The sequence below is a fragment of the Homo sapiens genome, chromosome 10 (genome assembly GCF_000001405.40).
Source record: "Homo sapiens chromosome 10, GRCh38.p14 Primary Assembly".
NCBI classification, from domain to species: domain Eukaryota; kingdom Metazoa; phylum Chordata; class Mammalia; order Primates; family Hominidae; genus Homo; species Homo sapiens.
The window spans coordinates 7312628-7331873 of record NC_000010.11 but is presented as its reverse complement, the minus strand read 5'-3'; the positions used below and the strand labels follow the sequence as shown (position 1 = coordinate 7331873).

The 19246-nt window shown below is 42.9% G+C and overlaps 1 protein-coding gene across 9 annotated transcripts in view, besides 2 other annotated features; it reads left to right on the top strand.

Annotated features, from left to right (window-relative positions):
• SFMBT2 (Scm like with four mbt domains 2) overlaps window positions 1-19246 on the top strand; it is a 252867-nt gene that overhangs the window by 79617 nt on the left and 154004 nt on the right. The window lies entirely within an intron of this gene.
• Window positions 2216-2717: an enhancer, noted in NCBI's record as "H3K4me1 hESC enhancer chr10:7371119-7371620 (GRCh37/hg19 assembly coordinates)". NCBI's record gives its function as "activates a minimal SCP1, AML or CMV promoter by ChIP-STARR-seq in primed H9 embryonic stem cells {active_cell/tissue: H9 hESC(primed)}" and the evidence as "EXISTENCE:reporter gene assay evidence [ECO:0000049][PMID:30033119]".
• Window positions 12449-12518: an enhancer, noted in NCBI's record as "active region_2972". NCBI's record gives its function as "activates an Ori minimal core promoter by ATAC-STARR-seq in GM12878 lymphoblastoid cells {active_cell/tissue: GM12878}" and the evidence as "EXISTENCE:reporter gene assay evidence [ECO:0000049][PMID:35858748]".

The window sequence follows — 19246 nt, the reverse complement described above, 5'->3', positions numbered from 1 at the left end:
CACGCCCGGCTAATTTTTGTATTGTTTTTTTCAGTAGAGACAGGGTTTCACCATGTTGACCAGGCTGATTTTGAACTCCTGACCTCAGGTGAACCGCCTGCCTTGGCCTCCCAAAGTGCTGGGATTACAGGAGTGATGCGCACAGGGTCCCATGTGAAGCCCAAGTCATGCTTCTCTGGGTGTCAGTCACTTCATCTGTGACTTGAGTGGATGTGACTAGCTTGCAAGTTCTCAGTGTTGGGGGCGCAGGAAGAGAGGAAGGATCTTTACCACCACAGTGGACAGGGCGGCAGTGGTGGGTGCAGGAGACAGGTGCTCTTCTGAAAAGTTCTGCATGTGGGGATGCCTTTTAGTCTCTGATCCTCTCCTGGGAAGATGCCTGGGTTTAATGAACTAAAATGACTTTCCGACTCTGACATCCTGTCTTTATAAGGTAAAGACCATTAGATTCAAGAGCATAATTGGATAGATATGTTTAAAGGTTGTCTTTCAGGATTATTGTGCTGATCACAGTTTTCACCTGGCTTTCCTGTCCCAGTGGATAGTGAGAATGATTTCCCTATTAAAAAATTACCCATCAACAGACTCCTGGTTAGACAGTGTGTTGAGAATTAATGGTGTGTGCCATCGAGTGATGAAAGGCAGAGAGAAGGTCTTAGCCTATGGGGGAATTCTGAGCTAGAACTCACAGTGTAATTTTTCCTTCTTTACAATGACATGGTTTATAATGAAGCCTTGGTAGGCTGGAGGACTTGTGTCAGAATACAAGTACCAAAGAAGTCACAGAGGAATATTAACTGAGAAGGCTTTTAAGAAAGAAGAAAATACCTATCCTTGTGCTAGGCCAGGCATTGAGGGAGGGACAGAGGCCTGGCTGCATCAAGGTGTCCTGACCTGCCTTGGAGCTGGACAGTAGCTGGGCTTGAAGATGACCGCAAACTGCTGCCTGTCCCCCTTCCAGGGAGGACGCTACCATGGGATGGATTAGACAGGGGAAAAAGCATCAGAAGTCAGATGAGAGACCTTGTCTTTGTTCCTCTGTTTCCTGACAGCAGCAAAGATTTTGATCAGAGGTGGTTTTTGTGGAGGTATAATAGCAAAAATTAAAGAACCACATCTGACTTGGGAAGGGGCATATTATATGGGAAGTGAGAGAGAGGGAGTGATGGGGGATAGAGAGAGATGGGAGGAAGAGAGGAGCAGAGAGAGAGGAAGAAAGAGAGAGACAGGGAGCTGGAACTGCTTTAGCTAAGGTGGCTTGGTGGAGTTTTTCTTGCTTGTATAATTATGGTGATTATTAATTTAAAGCTTGTCCTTCCCAAGTGATGCAAGTACCTGCTCCTGGGCCATCCTGTGCTAAGGTTGCATTGCTGAACGGATGACAGGGTGGGTGGTGTATGTCCCTAAGGCCACCAGAGATGGTTTACTCAATTCACATGCTTCCTCCACCTGGGATGAAAGCGGTTAATTAATGTTTGATTCTAAGAAGTCAGGTGATGTGATTCAGATTAGTTATGGGGTTGTGCTGAAGCGCGGGTGGACCCTAGGAGGTGATTTTAACGGAAGTCTCAAAATAGCAGCCTTGGAACTAGTTGGACTAGTTATTTTTAAAAATAATGAGAAATGTTATAAAGTCGGCTGAAGGTATTGATTTACCTTTCAGGTTGTTCAGAAACAGAATCTTGAGAAATAGCCTGCTACACAGTTGTAAGGGGGATAATAAAGAGATCCCCCTTCTCTAAAAAACGTTTACAACCCAATCTTTGGGCAGCCGAGATTTTTAGCAGCCGAGAAGGGTTCCCAGGGGCCACAGGTTGTCTTAGACCATCTCCATCAGTTCCTAGAAATCGTGCAAAGGGTTTCTTCAGGGGTTTCTGAGGCCTGTAACCATGGTATTAAAATCTGACTCTAGAATTCTTTGACATTTCTTGCATTGAGGGGTGAGACCCATGTTCTCTGTCCTTGAATCTGGGTGGCTTTGTTTGGGACTGTTGGATCCAATAGGGGACAGCCCGAGTGACCTCGGGTGACTTCCAAGGCTGAGTGAGAGAAGGTGACACAGCTGCCACCTCATTTGCTGGAACCCTTGTCCTGGGCACCTGAGTCATGGGGGAACAAATGTGGTTCCATGCTGTGAGGCCGCCATGCTGCATGGAGAGGCCATGTATAGGCGCTGTGGCCAGCAGTCCCGGCCTTCCCAGCCAAGGCCCCGGTTATTGTGGAGCAGAGACGAGCCTGCCTTGCTGTGTTCCATCTGGATTTCTAACCGAGGAATCTGTGAGCATCAGCAAATGGTGTTTTGGCCCCTGGGCGCTAGGGCAGTTTGTGACCCAGCAGAGGTACCTGCAGCAGCAGCAGCACCTCCTCTCTCCCTCCAGCTCATGCTCTTTGCAGAACTCACCACACACATTTCCTCAGTTCCCTCACCGCTTTTGTGGTTGTGGGGATGTCTTTAGCACCCGTGCTGTGCTGCGCTGATGGCTGCTGAGGACTGGACGCCAGTACCTAAGCTCGGCTCGTGAGAACCTCCGTGCAGGAAGGGGCCCCTAGAGCCAGAACAGAGGCTCTTCCTTCTGCTTCCAGCCTTGGGTAAAAACACACGCCAGGCGTCATTGACATCATTGTCATCATCATCACCATCATTCACTGTTGGTCTTTTCCATCTGTCCGCTGTCATTTTAGCCTCAGCCATGACATTTCTTAGTCCGTGAAATGCTACTGAGATTGTACTGTTATTTGAGGTAGTTCTTTTGGATTTTATTAACCCCAGTATATCTGTTGCTTACAAAATAACGAGCCACATGCTCATACAATGGCAGTGAAGGTTCTATATCTGGCAGCCTCATGTGAATTCAGGAGCCGGCAGGGAATTTAGGGGAGAAGTAAGGCAAGCTCTCAAGTTTTCCAAGCCGCATGGGCTGCTTGGATCTCACAAGTAATGCCTGGATTTAAATCACTGGGGAAGGCAGCCTTCTGCTCCTGTATAGTAGAAATGGGTCCCAGTCTTGAGAGGCTGCAAGTTTAAGCTTTTCTTAGTCACCTTGTTCTTACACTTTTTTTTGGTACAAATGTATTTGTACACAGAGAGACTTTTGCATTTTAAGCATAAAAGAAAGGATGACCTCAGAAAGTGAGTTCCATCTGGGACTATTATTATTTCAGCACTTACTTTATCAAAGAGGAAATTGTTTTATGTAGACTCCTACAGTGGGACAGCCATGTGCCAAAAATTAAAAGTGGATTAACACATTATATAAAAATTAACTCAACAGATTATAGATCTAGATGTAAAACATAAAGCTGTAAAACGTTTAGAAGAGGACATGGGATTTGTGGGTTGGGATTAGGCAAGAGTTCATAGACATGAGAACAGACAACAAATTGATAAAGTGGACTTCATCAAAATGAAAAATTTCCTGTGTGAAGGACACTTAAAAGAATGAAATGTCAAAGGACAAATACAGACTGAGAGAAAATATTTTCAAATCACATACCTGACAAAGCTCTTGTTGTATCTAGAATAAAATGGACTCTTAAAACTCAACAGGAAGGAAAAATAATCCAATTACAAATGGAGAAAAGACTTAAAAAGACACTTCACCAAAGAAGATATACAGATGGCAAATAAGCAGATGCAAAGATGTCGGTATTATTTGCATTAGAGAATTGCAAATTAGAGCCACAGTCAATATTACTACACACCTATTATAATTAGTAACATAAAAAACTGACAATATCAAGTGTCGACAAAGGATGTGGAGGCACTGGAACTCTTGTATGTTGCTAGTGGTGTGATCCCATGCAAAATGGGAAAGCCAATTGGGAAAACAGTTTGGCAGTTCTTACAACTTTAAACATACACCCACCATACAACCCAGCAATTGTACTCCTGGGTATTTAACCTTGAGAGATGAAAACTTACGTTCACATAAAACCTGGGTAAGATGTTTATAGCAGCCCTATTCATAGTTGCCAGAAAGTGGAAACAGCCCAGGTGTCTTTAAGCAGTGAATGGACAAATGACAAACAGATTCATTCAGGTAATGAAACTGGCTCAGCAAAAAAGTTGAAAGAACTATTGATACAACCATGGAGAATAATCTTGAAGGCATCATGCTGGGGGCAAAATACTAGTCTCAAAGGTTGCATGCTGTTAGATTCCATTTATATGACGTTCTTTTTTTTTTTTTTTTGAGTTAGAGTCTCGCTCTGTCTCCCAGGCTGGAGTGCAGTGGCATGATCTCAGCTCACTGTAACCTCCATCTCCTGACTTCAAGTGTTTCTCCTACCTCAGCCTCCTGAGTAGCTGGGATTACAGGCACACGCTACCACACCCAGCTAATTTTTGTATTTTTAGTAGAGACAGAGTTTCACCATGTTGGCCAGGCTGGCCTTGAACTCCTGACCTCAAGTGATCTGCCCACCTTGGCCTCCCAAAGTGCTAGGATTACAGGGCAAAACTTTAGATCAGTAGTTGCCCCGGGGGTTGAGGTGGAGGAAGGATGTGACTGTGAAGATAAACAGAAGGAGGGATTTTTTTTTCGGGGTGATGAAACTGTATCCTGATGGTGGTGGTGGGAATGGAAATCTATACATGTGTAAAATTCATAAAACTATATACCTAAGACAGGTCAACTTTATTGTGTAATAGAAACAAAAAAATTAAACAATCTTATTATTTTGTTGTTGTTGTGGATACGAGAGAGGAATAGGGAGAACTTTTTTTTTTTTTTTTTTTCAAGGAAGACCTGGTTTCCCCCAGTGGTCTGGTGGCCCAAATTAGAGTGACATGAAGGGAAGCACTGGGGGCAAAAGTCCCTCGTATGAAGGACAGCAGGGAGGAGACGATGCTTTTCATGGTAGTCCGCAGGGCATGGCGACATCCCTATGTTTGTCTTTTATTTACGGTGACTTTCCTAAAATACATTACCCAAAGAATTGCATGGAGAAATTACTGTGCAACCCCTTTCCCCAAGGGGAACACCAAAAGGGAATCTAGTTCGGTTTTAAGAGCAGCTTTGGAAGCAAAAGAGCGGTTGCTTTGGGACCAGGAAACAAAGGCTTGACTTGAAATGATGAGAAAGAGCCAGAGATTTGAGGTTTTCGTTTTCCAGTGAACTTTTTAGAGAGTTAACTGCACAGCTCAAAACGGAGGCTAATCAGAGGTGCACAATTAAATTACCATGCACCACTTAGAAAATTAAAGGGTAACTCGATAGTCTGTGTGATTTCGAGGATTAATTTTGAGACAATGTAAATGGCTATTATTAGTATTTGTATTACTGATAATCTTTACATGGGATGCCAGACGTGTTGTGGGTCTTTGGAACAGTAGCTGTCTAAGCTGATTTCAGAGACGAATACAGAGCCGAGGCTATTAAACAAGATGGCCTGGTGATCTCCAGGGTCTGCTTTTGCAGCTTAGGAGCTTTGGGGAATGTGCGGGGGAGTTATTGATGGGCAGGTGCCGCTGGCATTTCCTGGGCAGGGGCTAAGGATGTCAAATGTCCCTCAGCGCCTGGAAGAGCCCCATACAATGAATAATTGTTCCTGGTGATCTTGAAATGTTCTGCCAGACACAAAGGTGAAATTATGTGTGCAGTGAATGGAGCTTGGAACCTAATTCCAGCTCTAAGTTGTTTATATATGGTTTGTATAGTTTTAAAATAGTCTGAATTTTTCAAGAATACAGCTGCCTGGTAAGTCCAATGAAGATGGCTCTTTTGTTTGGAAGCTTAACAAGAGTTGTTTACTCTTAGAAAATCAGGGACTACAATATCCCTGTTGATATTTCAATCCAGGCAACACATACATATCAGTGTACATTTATTTTTTCTGGTTGCATACTGGACAATTTTACGTATGACTATTCTTGTGCTGCATTCAAAATACTGCATAGAAAAGAATGCCAACAATATTCAGTTTAATACTGTTTTCTTTTAATTTTTAACATATTTATTGAGATATAATTTACATACTATGCAATTCACCCACTTAAAGTGTACAATTCAATGGTTTTAGTATATTCAGAGTTTTGCAACCACCACCAAAACATTAGAACATTTTCATCATCCCAAAGAGTAAACCGTTACCCGATAGCAGCCACTTCCATCCCCACCCTGATACTATCTTCTGTCAGATCCCCACTTATTTATTGTTAAGTAGATAAAAGATTTGACCGCCACGTTGTACCTTCTGGTAGAGTTGTACCTGAGCCTGTACCTACTGAAGTGTGCTTTATTTTCTTACGAATTACTTTCCACTATTTTTTCTCTCTCAAGATTGGGCATTTTGTGACTTTAAAATAGTTATATGTGAGGGTAGGTTTTGTTACCTCTGAATATGTATTTAGAAGAAGAGAAGTCCTTGGCTCTGACTGGATTGAGAAGACATCCATGGGTCTTCCTTACACAGAGGTGATGACTAAGCAGCAGCACAGCAGATACCTTGTGATAATAGAAGGATTTTAAACTTCTCTGAGTACAGCTTTATTATTTCATTTATTCTCTACCTTTAATATTGGTTATGGCCTGAACGTTTGTGAACTCCCCAAATTCCTATGTTGAAGCCCCCGCAGTGTGGCTGTGTTTGAAAGTGGGGCCTTGGGTGGGGGCGCGGTGGCTCAGGCGTGTAATCCCAGCATTTTGGGAGGCTAAGGCGGGTGGATCACCTGAGGTCAGGAGTTTGAGAGCAGTCTGGCCAACATGGTGAAACCCCGTCTCTACTAAAAATACAAAAATTAGCCGGACGTGGTGGCGGGCACCTGTAATCCCAGCTACTCGAGAGGCTGAGGCAAGAGAATGGCATGAACCTGGGAGGTGGAGGTTGTAGTGAGCCGAGATCGTGCCATTGCACTCCAGCCTGGGCAACAGAGCGAGACTCCGTCTCAAAAAAAAAAAAAAAAAAAAAAAAGTGGGGCCTCTAAGGAAGTAATTAAGGCTCAGTGAGGACATAAGGCTGGGTCCTTAATCCTTTAGGATTACTGTCCTTAAAAGAAGAGGCACCTGAGAGCTTATGCACTCTCCCTCCGCCTCCCTTCTCTGCCTGAGCACACAAAGAGGTCATGTGAACACGTAGCAAGATGGCGGCCACCTACAAACCAGGAGGAGAGGCCTCCGAGTGAAACTGACCATGCTGCCCCCTTGATCTGGGGCTTCCCAGCCTCCAGAACTGTGAGATACGTTTCTGTTTAAGACACCCAGTCTATGCTTTTCTGATGGAGTAGCCCAAGCAAACTAATACAAGTTTCTTCTAGCTGGTAAGAACAACCATTCCCTTGGGACCATAGTGGAAGTGAGTACAGCCATATCTGCCTTTGAGTAAACTCTGACTATGAGGAGTAACTCAGGGAACTCAGATTGGGGTGGAGTTCACAAGATCCTCGGCTGCAGTTTGGGCTCTACCTCTTGGTTTTTGGAGCTCCCCTGCCTGGTCTCCTCCGCGTCTTCTCTTTTTACTTCTGGCTCTTCACTCTGCACCATCACCTCTTACTCCTTATTCCATTATTTTTCAACGTTGCATTGTTGCTGAACCGCAGTGTTTAGCAAACCTTTATTTTCTCATAAGCTGAATATGCGGTGGAGAGAAGGGTTTCCCACAAACATACTAGAAAAAATGTGTGTGTGTGTGATTATAGTAATTATTCACACTTATAGCAAAACATTCATTTGATTCAGGAAAGGACAAAAGGTAAATAAAGTGTTCAGAAATCTCACTATTGTAGAGCTAGAATCATTTTGGGACTACCTAGACAACTTTGTGTGTGCATAGGCAATATATTTACACAGGCATGTACTTTTACATTCATAGAGTCCTACTATATTCACTAAACTGCTTTATAACAGTTTTTGTTGATGTTTTTGGCAATAAATACAGATGAAATATAACATTTTAAATAGCCATATAGAATTCCATTTTATGTATGTATTATGATGGTTGTAACTTGAGGGTCTTTGGGATATATCTCTGTCTCTGCCTATGTCTCTGTCTCTATAACTCTATCATCTGTATCATTTCCCTAATATTACATAATATAAAATGCAAATTTTGTTAAAAAGAAACCTTTTTAAGCAAAGTTCTTTGTACTTCTGATTATCTCTGTACTATACATTGTTCCAAGGAACTTTTTATCAATATGTACTTTCTTTTCTTAAAGATGTTGAAACAAACTTTATTTTTGGACATATCAAACCTAAAGAAAAAGTACAGAGGTTAAAATTAAAAAAATCTGCACAGCACCTGTGGGGCTTTATCAAATTCTAACATTTCAACATACTTCAGATTGAAAAAACCACTATAGTTGAAACCCCATGTAATATTGGGGCTCCTTTCCAACACCTTTTGTCTTCTATGGCAACTGCTGTCCTGAATTTGGTGTTTATTTTCCTCATTTTTTTTTTTTTTGGTTTTTTTTTTTTTTTTTTGAGATGGAGTCTTGCTCTGTTGCCCAGGATGGAGTGCAGTGGCATGATCTTGGCTCACTGCAACCTCCGCCTCCTGGGTTCAAGCAATTATCCTGTCTCAGCCTCCCCATTAGCTGGGACTATAGGCACCTGCCACCATACCTGGCTAACTTTTTGTATTTTTAGTAGAGACGGAGTTTCACCATATTGGTCATGCTGCAAACTCCCAAACTCAGGTGACCAACCCGCCTCAGCCTCCCAAAGTGCTGGGATTATAGGCGTGAACCACCGCGCCCAGCTCCATTTATGTTTTATATTGCATGTATATTTCACCATAAATCATAGTTAGTATTGTTTTTACCTGTTTTCAGACTTTCCATAAATGGTATCAATATAAATAATTTTTCAATTTGCTTTCTCTGCTTATTCCACAACTTCTCTGTTTTCTTCATGTTAGACATTTAGGTTGTCTTTTGCACATTTTTACTGTTAACAAACAGAGCTATGAAGAATACTCTTGGGTGAATGTTCTGGTTTACAAATGAGAGCATTTCTCTGATGATAATGAGACAGTCATTTTCCACAGTGGTTATCATCTAGCCAGCAGCATGCAGTAATCCAAGTTTTCCCATGCCCTGGTCAAAGCTTCATTTTTGGCCTTGGGCTAGATGTGAAATCCTGTCTTTCTGTGGTTTTCATCCATTTTCTGTGATTGCTAGTATGGTTTTGTGTCTTTTCCTAGACATGAGGGTTTCCTTTGTCCATTCGCCTCCCCACTGTCCCCTCTTCCATTTCAACATACCCTGTTTATTAGACCTTACTTTTGTGCTGTGCTGTGTATGTGTGTGTGTGTGTGTGTGTGTGTCTTCCATAAGTTTTCATTTCAAATTCTTAAAAATTTTCTTGTATATTCCTTCTAGAATTTCTAAAAAGTAAAGATCTTTAATCCATCTGGAATCGATGCCTGTATATAGGGCAGTCATTGTTCAGGGCCAGTCAGTTTCAGCTGGGAGCGCCCTTTTTCATCACAGGTGTGAGTACAAACAGGATCATTTTCCTTGTGTACTGTGTCAGTCCACTTTCATACTGTTATGAAGAAATATCCAAGACGGGGTAATTTATAAATAAATAAGAGGTTTAATGAACTCAGAGTTTCACATGGCTGGGGAGGCCTCACAATCATGGCAGAAGGTGAAGGAGGAGCAAAGGCACATCTTACATGGTGGCAGGCAAGAGAGCTTGTGCATGGGAACTCCCATGTATAAAACCATCAGATTTAGTGAGACTCATTCACCATCAGTAGAACAGAATAGGAAAAACCCACCCCCATGATTCAATTCCCCCCTAGTGGGTCCCTCCCATGGGACACGTGGGAATTATTTACAATTCAAGGTGAGATTTGAGTGGGGACACAGAGCCAAACAATATCATGTACCGTGATGTGAAAAAGTTTGGGAAGTGCTGGTCCTATTTGTCATTTTATGACATTCTGCATACATTTAGAGGTCAAATTTGTCAAGTTCCCTAAAAAAACCTCCAATGGAATTTTGATTGGAGTTGCATAAAACTTATTAATGGAGGAATTGAAATTATTATGATTTCAGTTTGCATTTTCTAACAAATGCATTGCAAATGTAAGAAATTATATTTTAATGGATGGACTCAGTGCTGAGTGCTGACAAGCATCCCAGGTGAGTAATAAACCCCTGCCTTCAAGTAGTTCATAGCTTAAAGCTATATGCTTGGAAATGGACAAGGGAGAGTTACAAAATATGGAGGTATTAATGGGACATTTTGACTATACTAAGAAATATACAAACTCTCGTGTTAAAGAATTCAAAGGGAGAAGAGACCATATCAGTGTGTCAGTTTTCTTAATGATTTGGTGAGTACCTACATTGTGCACCTTAAGATGGGATATTTTATCCCTGACGTTATTTTACCCTGAATCACTGTTAAGATGCTCATAAATGCCGGGCACGGTGGCTCACGCCTGTAATCCCAGCACTTTGGGAGGCTGAGGAGGGCAGATCACAAGGTCAGGAGATCGAGACCATCCTGGCTAACACAGTGAAACCCCATCTCTACTAAGAACACAAAAAATTAGCCGGGCGTGTTGGCGGGCGCCTGTAGTCCCAGCTACTCAGGAGGCTGAGGCAGGAGAATGGCATGAACCCGGGAGGCGGAGCTTGCCGTGAGCCGAGATTGTGCCACTGCACTCCAGCCTGGGCAACAGAGTGAGACTCTGTCTCAAAAAAAAAAAAAAAAAAGGATGCTCATAAATGCCTCAGTGAAACTTAGGGTTACCCTCTCCTTTTCAAAGAAGAGATCCACCTTTTCTTTTTTAACTGAGAGCCTTCCTCCTCTTCCCTTGCAGAAAGATTGTTAATTTGTTTTATATAGGAGGAATCCTGTAATAAACCATGTCATTATTAATTAAAAATAACACATGCTGGGTCCTGAGGGAACTCAACATGGAGAAAAGCAGCCACTGAAATTTTAACAGGAGTGTTTTTTTTAGACGATTTATTTAATTATCTTTACTATTCCGAGCAGTGGAGGAACTGGGCCGTTGGCAGGCCCTTATGCGCTTGGATGGGAGTTGCTCTCTCTTAACAGGCAGTTTAGAGCTACAGAGTCAGTAATTTTAATCTCCCAGTGAAAAATGGCATTTGGAATTGGCCTTGAATAGTGGAGGATGTGGGTCATGGAGGGTCTGAAAGACCCTGGGCCTTGAATCTCCATGTCAGCCCGCAAAACACTGAGGTTAGACTCTTTAAACTTTACTTTCTTCATCTGAAAAATGAAAAGTGCTTCCTATTACTTAACCTCCCAGAATGGTGGTAAGAATGAAAAGGAATTCCATATATTGGCTCTCAGCAGGTGTGACTTTACTGTTCTCTGCAATTGTTGATCTTACTTCCTATAGTGAAATGGTTCCTTTCATAAGAAAATACTCCAGTGATTCTCCAGGAAAAAAATAGAAGGAAAGAAGATTTCAAAGGATAAGCTCATTTTTTCCAATCCTAGAGAATCAGCATCTCTGCCCTGGTTCTCTTGTCTGAATTGGAGAACAAGTGGCTGTAACCCTCTGACCCTCCGGCTTGTTTCATTTATACCGCGGGGCAAGATGGTAGAGAACACTTACCACATGATTGGAAGTACTTTGAGGAAGAACTAGATAAAAGTGAGTCATTAATTAATTGTTAAGAGTCAGCAGCTGCACACTCAGGCGTCTCGTTTGATGGGAAAGGGAAGCAACTTGAGTGAATTTAAATCACTTCGCATGTATGACAGTGTATTAAAGTAATGAGCCATGCATCTGGCCAAGTTGGCGTTGTCAAGCTTTGACTTTCTCTGTCTGTCTCTCTCTCTCTGTCTCTGTCTCTCTCTGTCTCTATGTCTCTCTCTCTGTCTCTGTCTGTCTTTGTCTCTCTCTTTCTCTTTCTGTCTCTCTCCTTCTCTGTCTCCCTCTCTGTCTCTCTCTCTGTGTCTCTCTGTCTTCATCTCTCTCTGTCTCTCTCAGTCTCTGTGTCTCTCTCAGTCTCTCTGTCTCTCTCTCTTAGTCTCTCTCTGTCTCTCTGTCTCTCTCCCTCTCTGTCTCCCTCTGTGTCTCTCTCTGTCTCTCTGTCTTCCTCTCTGTCTCTCTCTGTCTCTCTCTCAGTCTCTGTCTGTCTGTCTCTCCCTCTCTCTCTCTCTGTGTCTCTCTCTGTCTCTCTCTCTCTGTCTCTCTATCTTCCTCTCTCTCTGTCTCTTTCAGTCTATCTCTGTCTCTCAGTCTCTCAGTCTTTGTCTCTCTCTGTCTCTCTCTCTCTCTCTGTCTCTCTCTTTGGTAGCACCTAGTTTAATTCCTGTAGCTTACATGCTACAAAAAGATTTTACAAAATCCAGCAATAAACAAAATGAAACTTCCTGATATACCATAACTGATACCTGTGACTCTGGGAATTTCTTAAGACATCCGGAAATAAGTGTACCTTTGTACGTGAAGGACGTTTGTTTTCCCCAAGATCTAGGTCAAATTAAGAACAGACTTGTGTCCCATCCAGTTTGAGATAGGCTGGTTGGCTTTCTCAGGGACCTTGTGTTTGCAGCTCTGTGACAGTATTCAGTTTTAAACTTTGGATTTCTTTCTCCTGAATGAGCAAAAGTAATGCTTTTGCAGAACGCCGGGGAATTAATTGCTGCTAAGATTTGAAGAAAGACATGTGCACAGTTCCTAGCTCTGTATTTTTACCCCAGGAGTACTGCGAACTTGATGATTTTGGTTTAGTGACTTCCTTGCCAGCGGACTTACGTTTTTTGTTTGCATGTTGACTGCTTTGCCTAGAAGTTCTGAGGGACATAGTTTAAAGATGTCTTGCAGTGCACCTGGTTAATGAATCCACCCACGGAAACTCTGCCTCCGTGTCTCTGACTTTGTCTTCTGCGATCCCTCGTGTGGCCCTGCTCCAGTGGGCTTGGCTTCCTTCCCTTTTGTCAGAGATGCCAAGTTGGTTTATGGCCCGGGGCCTTTGTACAGGCGGCACTCTCTGCCTGGAACACCCTTCCCTCAGATAATTGCATGGTTTACTCTCAATTCCTTTAAGTCTCTGCTAAAATGTCATTTTTTTCATGAGGATTTGAGGAATTGTGTACAAATAAAATCAGCCCCACCCTGGCAGATTTATTTCCCTTTTTAGCATTTTTATTGTCTGATAACATATTTGCCACTTGACCATTCGTCTGTCCTAGCCCAGAATAGAAGACGCGGAGACGCGAACCTTTATTATTTTCTCGCTCCAGTTCCCTCAGCATTTGGGCTGTGTATTTACTGAAGGATTGAGTGGATATTCTTCTATCAGTATGACTGATGTGTCATATTGTGGCTCAAGGCATATTTAACAGAGCCACTGTGTTACATTCCTGCTAATGAAAGGTAAATGTTATTTCACTCATTCAAGTCATAAGATTCTTGATTGAGCCCAGGTGCCAGGTACAAGTCCAAGTACTTGGGCATTGGCTGACCTGGAATTCAGGTCATGTATTTCTAAGTGGGGACAATATCACCTCCAAAGAGGTGAAAAAAAAATCATGCTTTTAAAATGTGCCAAGCACAGATGTCAGTATAACACATAAAAAGATATGAAGGATATCTGTGGTTTTACAATTTCATGAGGAGGAGGTGTTTAGAACAAATATCTAAAAGGGCTTCTTAGGGGCATGATAATGAGAGAAAAAAAGGTTGTGAAACCGTGGTCTTTAGGGCAGAGAATATCAGTGAGAACAGGCAAGAAGGTTCTGGCAGAATGCCTCCTGTGTCCCCATGAATTTGCCACTTTCTCTTCTTCCCAGCATTAGCCAGAATTTCATGGTCAGACCTACAAGTACCAGCTCCAGTGGACACTTCTGTGTTGCAGTTAATTCTTCTCCATTCAATATTCCTTAGAGTTCTCAGAAAATCATTTCTTCCTTAAGATGGTGCATATCTTTGTGGTTTGCAGCCACCGTCTTAGACTGTCCCAAGTTGTGGTTAGGATAATACTGAATTGTGGTGTTCTATGACTTGCTGATTTTTTGGAATTTATAACGAAGTCAAATATCTTTTTCATCCAGAGATACAATTTTGTCTTCCAAATGACGCCCACCAGGGGTTTTTGTGCATTTCCTTGGTGGTTTAATAGAATTTGAAACCTAATATTTCATGTCATTTTGTTACATAAATTAGTGTTTTCCTTACGCAGGTTCACACAAGGATCTGACTCAGATCTTTTACCTTCTCCTCTGTGGACCAGGTCAGCGTGGCCAGAAGCTATGATATTGCTGATGTGTACTTTTTTTTTTTTTTTTTGAGACGGAGTTTTGTTCTTGTTGCCCAGGCTCGAGTGCAGTGGCATGATCTTCGCTCACCGCAACCTCCGCCTCCTGAGTTCAAGTGGTTCTCCTCCCTCAGCCTCCTGAGTAGCTGGGATTACAGGCATGCGCCACCACGCCTGGCTAATTTTGTATTTTCAGTAGAGATGGGGTTTCTCCATGTTAGTCGGCTGGTCTTGAACTCCTGGCCTCAGGTGATCTGCCCGCTTTGGCCTCCCAAAGTGCTGCGATTACAGGTGTGAGCCACCACGCTGGCCATGATATGTCTTCGCTTGGAATTGAGAGCAGATGCTTTTATTAAAAATAAGGATCTTAAATTCTGTAGGATTTTTTTTTTTCCATTAAGCTGCCTCTATTTTCGAATGATGAGAGGAATAAAACCATGTGGCTTCCCACAGCTGCCCACATGGGTCCTGCCCATGGATTTAGTGTGGGCCAGTCCTCTGAGTAGGCTCACACACTCAGGACATGACCCTGGGGGAGGGGGCACGAGGACAAAGCCCTCTCCTGAAGGAGCAGTGCTTTCCAAGCCCTGCAAAGACTGCAACTGATGAGGGGGACACGACCAGAATTTTAGAAGGAAGTATGTGCTCATTTAGTACACAGTTGTGAGCTCTGCCACACACTAGATATCACATTTATCAATAGAGAAACAAATAGGCATAGTCCCTGAGTTTAAGGACTTCATAGGCATGCACATATGTATGTGTGGTTTGCATGTGTGTGTGTGTGTGTTTATGTGTGGGGAGGGAGGTTATCATGTTCACCAGCCTACATACTATGGCTATGTAATATCAAGAGGTTCATGGAGAGTCCAATAGGGGATCTTTTTCAGAGGAGTTGATCCTGGAGAAATCCTCGAAGTGAGCAGGCATGCTAGACCATCTTGGCAGGCCAGAAAGGGGAACCTCTTCATTTACAGGCACGATGCTAGTGACTTTGAGACTTCTCTTCATATTTTGTGTGGAATGAAAGAGAGCTGAACAGAGGGCTTGAGTGACTTGTCCTGTGCATGGTGGATCCAGGTTTTAAACTCAGTTGCATGGGAGAAGAATGTCCTCCAGGTCGCAGGCTTCCTTGGGGACCCCGTGGCTGGCCTGTCGTCCCCTGCATAGTTCATTCCAACCTTGCTCTCATCTGAGTGTTCCTTGTGCTGCTTTCCAGCCTGGCGGGGCCCATCACTGACCCATTGGCGCTTCCCTTTCCTGGGTGTGCTGGGCCCACCAGCCTCCACCCAGCCCCTCACCTGCCTGCTCATATGGCTTTGGGGTACGCTCACTGCCTTTTCTAGCCCAGCTGGCTGGATCCCTTGGCCGTAGCATCTTTTCTGCTGGGCTCTGCTCTCAGTGCTGTTTCTGGTCTGCACTGCTCTGAGCCTTTCTAACTGCCCTAGCCCAGCTGTAAACATTGCTGTTTTTCTTGCCATTCTGATAAAAATCCAACACAACCCATTCACTAATTAGAACATTGCATAAACATGAGTCCTGTTGAGGGAGGTCATGCGTTTTGGCTCTTCAAGGTTCACCATCTGTTCTCAGCATGGTCTTTGTATCTCTTCCCTCTGTGATGAAGTAGACCAAGTTCAGCTTCCAATTGTTCCAGGAACTCAGAAATTCTAGTGTTCCTGACACTTCCAGTTTTCCCTGTGTTGTATAGATTAGCCTTAATCTGTGTACTTCTATGCCTGAACATCTTCTTAATAACAGCAAATATTAAGAGGGCTGACTATGTCTCAGGTGCTGTTGTACAGGTTTTACATTAAGACTTCTAGCAAGCCTGTGAGGTGGGGACTGTTCTTGTCCCTGTGGAAACCGAGGATCAGAGAGGAAAAGTAACTTGCTGAAGGTCATACAGCTCTTAACTGGTGTATCTGGGACTTGAATAATCTGGGTTAGTAGCAGATTGAAATTATTTGGCATATGGACTAGTCAGGGTTCTCCAGGAACACAAAACCTGTAGGATGGTGATATTGAGAGATTTGTTCCAAGGAGTTGGCTCCTGTGATGATGGAGGCTGACAAGTCCCTAGATCTGCAGTTGGCAGGCTGGAGATCCAGGAGAGCTGATGGTGGAAGATGGTGTAATTTCCAGTCCTAGCCTGAGGCCTGAGAACTGGAACTGGTGGAATAGTTCTTGTCTGAAGGCCTCCAAGCTCGAGACCCAGGAAGAGCCAATATTTCAGATAGAGTTGGAAGGTGGGAAAAAGCCATCATCCCCCAAAGGCAGTGAGGCAGGAGGGATTCTCCCTCACTTGGGGGTGGATCAGACTCTTGTTCTATACAGGCCTGCGATGGATGGGATGTGGCCCACCCATAGCATCTGCTCTACTCAATCTGCTGATTCAAATGCTAATGTCAGCCAGAAACACCCCAAGAAACACCCAGAATAATGTTTGACCAAATATCTGAGCATCATGGCCAGGCACATTGACACACACAATGGACCCTCACAGGGGATCGTGACGTTTTACTCTTGTGCTGCCGGATTGGCTGGCTTGCTTGCTTGCTTTTTCTTTCTTTCTTTCTTTCTTTCTTTCTTTCTTTCTTTCTTTCTTTCTTTCTTTCTTTCTTTCTTTCTTTCTCTTTCTTTCTTTCTCTCTCTTTTCTTTCTTTCTTTCTTTTCTTTCTTTCTTTCTCTTTCTCCCTCTCTCTCTCTCTCTTTTCTTTCTCTCTTTCTCTTTCTCTCTCTCTCTCTTTCTGTTTCTCTTTCTCTTTCTCTCTTTCTCACTCTGTTGCCCAGGCTGAAGTGCAGTGACACGATCTCGGCTCACTGCAACCTCTGCCTCTTGAGTTCAAAAGGTTCTCTTGCCTCAGCCTCCCAGGTAGCTGGGAATACTGGGGCCTGCTACCATGCCCAGCTAATTTTTGTATTTTTAGTAGATACAGGGTTTCACCATGTTGGCCAGGCTGGTCTCGAACTCCTGACCTCAGGTGACTCCCCTGCCTCAGCCTCCCAAAGTGCTGGGATTATAGGTGTGAGCCAATGTGCCCAGCCGGGTCTGGTTTTTTATGCATGTTTTAGCTGTAATGCCCTTGTCCTTCCAAAGAGCTATAGTCACAGAAAGGCTGGGATAATAACCCAACATCTTACACCAAGTGTGGTTGAGATAGAAATCCCAGAGATCATGTGATCGTTAAGAAATGTTACAGGTAGTGCTTGTTCATTCTTCCGGGTATCTCTTGTGTGGTTTGCATAGCTGCCTAGCAGTTCAACATTTGGATTTGCCATTATGTAGCAATAATGCAGTGGTAGGCTCCTTGCTGTTAATGCTTTGTGGATTTTTCTGTAACTTGTAAATAAGTTAGCAGATTTAGTCATTTTGCGAGGCAGCAAGTGGAAACAACTAAAACTGTTTGGTGTCCCATTTTGATTAGCGCTGTGTCATCTGCCTCCCACTTAAGGGGTTGTCCCTCTTTTCTCTATTGAAGGAAAATGCTAGTTTGGATATAAGAGTAAATCCTAACGTGCAATGATTCTAAATTAGACTCTTACTAAATGTTCTAACTAGGACATGTTTGAATCAGTGATAATTTCAATAGGGGTTCATGCTATTTTTCCATTACTTTTTAAAAAATGACAAAAGTAACTTGGAAATGAAAATAGCATGTAGATAAATATATAAAGTAAAATGTGAAAGTCCTCCTTCCTCTCCCCCCTTCAAACTCACTTCCCAGAAATAACTGCAGAAAAGCTGTGCATGTATCTAGATATTTTCCTGTTTCTATAAAGATACTCTTATGAAGGTATTTTACATTAGAAATTTAGATGAGAAAAGTGGTGTCTTGCCAAACACACAGTTCTGAGACATGTTGGTTTCACTCAACCATCTTACAACCTGGCTGGACATGGTGGCTCACACCTGTAATCCCAGCACTTTGGGAGCCAAGGCGAGAGGATCACTCAAGCCAAGGAGTTCAAGACCAGCCCGGGCAACAAAGTGAGACCCCCATCTCTAAACAAAACAAAACAGCAAAAACAAAAACAAAAACAAAAAACCCCAATCGTTTGTTTGGCTGGGTGCGGTAGCTCATGCCTGTAATCTCAGCACTTTGGAAGGCCAGATCACTTGAACCCAGGAGTTGGAGACCAGCCTAGGCAACATGGCGAAACTCTGTCTGTAGAGAAAACACAAAAACTATCGAAGATTGGTGGCATTCACCTGTACTCCCAGCTACTTGGGAGGCTGAGGTGGGCAGATTGCTTGAGCCTAGGAGGTCAAGGCTGCAGTGAGCTGCAATCGTGCCATCTTATTTCACTCCATTGCTTCTGTGCAGTATGGATATGTCACATAACTTTTTAGTCAATGTTGAATATTATATTCGCCCCTCTAGGTTTTTACCATACACAGTGCAATTGCGTTGTAGAACAATACAATTGAGAACAATTGTATTATATTTATTATATAAATAATGTTATATGTTATTATATATAATATATATTATTATGTATAACAATTGTATTATTCTCTCTGTATTTTAAAATTTATTTTCTTCATGACTTATGGGATGTACAGGCTCTGGGCTCAGCATCTTGCACGGAGGTGGTGGATGCTATGAGGATAACGCTGCTGGGAATACTGGCTGCAGGTCATATCTGAGAGCAGAACTCAGTGTTTTATTTAGTTTATTTCTCCCGAGGTGGATGGAGCACCCCAATCCTCTCATTACAGTCCTTTGGCAGAGCCAAACCTGGAAGCATCCCCAATCCCAGAAAATCTGTCTAGTTTTTACTTTGAAATGCTGTCCCTCTCCTTCTGGAATTAGGTTATATTGTCTGTTTACCTGGTAAGTAATTAAAATCTCAGTTTCAGCACTTTATAATTAACTAAAGGGAAAAAATAACTCCAGCATGACTTTCTATTCTGGGGGGTTCAGTAAACACCATTGTGATTCGCTAACGCCCCTTAGGAAGATCACTAATAGCTATAAACGAAACAGACCATTAAGCTGAGAACAGAGGTCTCCGGGCAGTTGCAGTCTACTGATTTGCTGA